Source organism: Homo sapiens, chromosome 16 (assembly GCF_000001405.40).
Source record: "Homo sapiens chromosome 16, GRCh38.p14 Primary Assembly".
Lineage (NCBI taxonomy): Eukaryota > Metazoa > Chordata > Mammalia > Primates > Hominidae > Homo > Homo sapiens.
Window position 1 is genome coordinate 67248273 of NC_000016.10, and position 443 is coordinate 67248715.

The 443-nt window shown below is 70.7% G+C and overlaps 2 annotated features.

The window, feature by feature from the left end:
- Nucleotides 159-248: a silencer, noted in NCBI's record as "silent region_7597". NCBI's record gives its function as "represses an Ori minimal core promoter by ATAC-STARR-seq in GM12878 lymphoblastoid cells {active_cell/tissue: GM12878}" and the evidence as "EXISTENCE:reporter gene assay evidence [ECO:0000049][PMID:35858748]".
- Nucleotides 269-358: a silencer, noted in NCBI's record as "silent region_7598". NCBI's record gives its function as "represses an Ori minimal core promoter by ATAC-STARR-seq in GM12878 lymphoblastoid cells {active_cell/tissue: GM12878}" and the evidence as "EXISTENCE:reporter gene assay evidence [ECO:0000049][PMID:35858748]".

Sequence of the window (443 nt, forward strand, 5' to 3'; positions counted from 1 at the left end):
AGAGATGAGACAGTTCTCTGTAGTGTGACTGAAAGGGAGGGCCAGGTGCCCCTTGGTTTGGGAGATGAAGAACAGCCTCCCTCTTCGCCTGGCACGAGCTGGGCCAGTCTGGGCCTTAGGGTTTCTGGGACGTTGGGGGCAGCGTTGTCCGTCACTGCTTTGGGGAGCGTCCAGTGCGCGTGCGCAGCTCAGGTCCGGGTGGGGGCCGGCAGGGGGTCCTGGGCTTGGCAACGTGGGCGGAGGGCGGCCAAGCACGGTCCCCTGCGTTTTGCACCCGGCCGCGCCTTGGTCCCAGGGGGGTGCTGCTCGCCGCACAGCAGCGCTGGCCGAGGAGGAGCCGTGCCCCTCCCGTCCTGACCGCGCCCCCCGCAGACCCCCGCCCTTCCCGCTGCGGGCTGCCCCAGGGGGGCCGTGGCCGCGCACCGCTCTGGATCTGGTGGGGG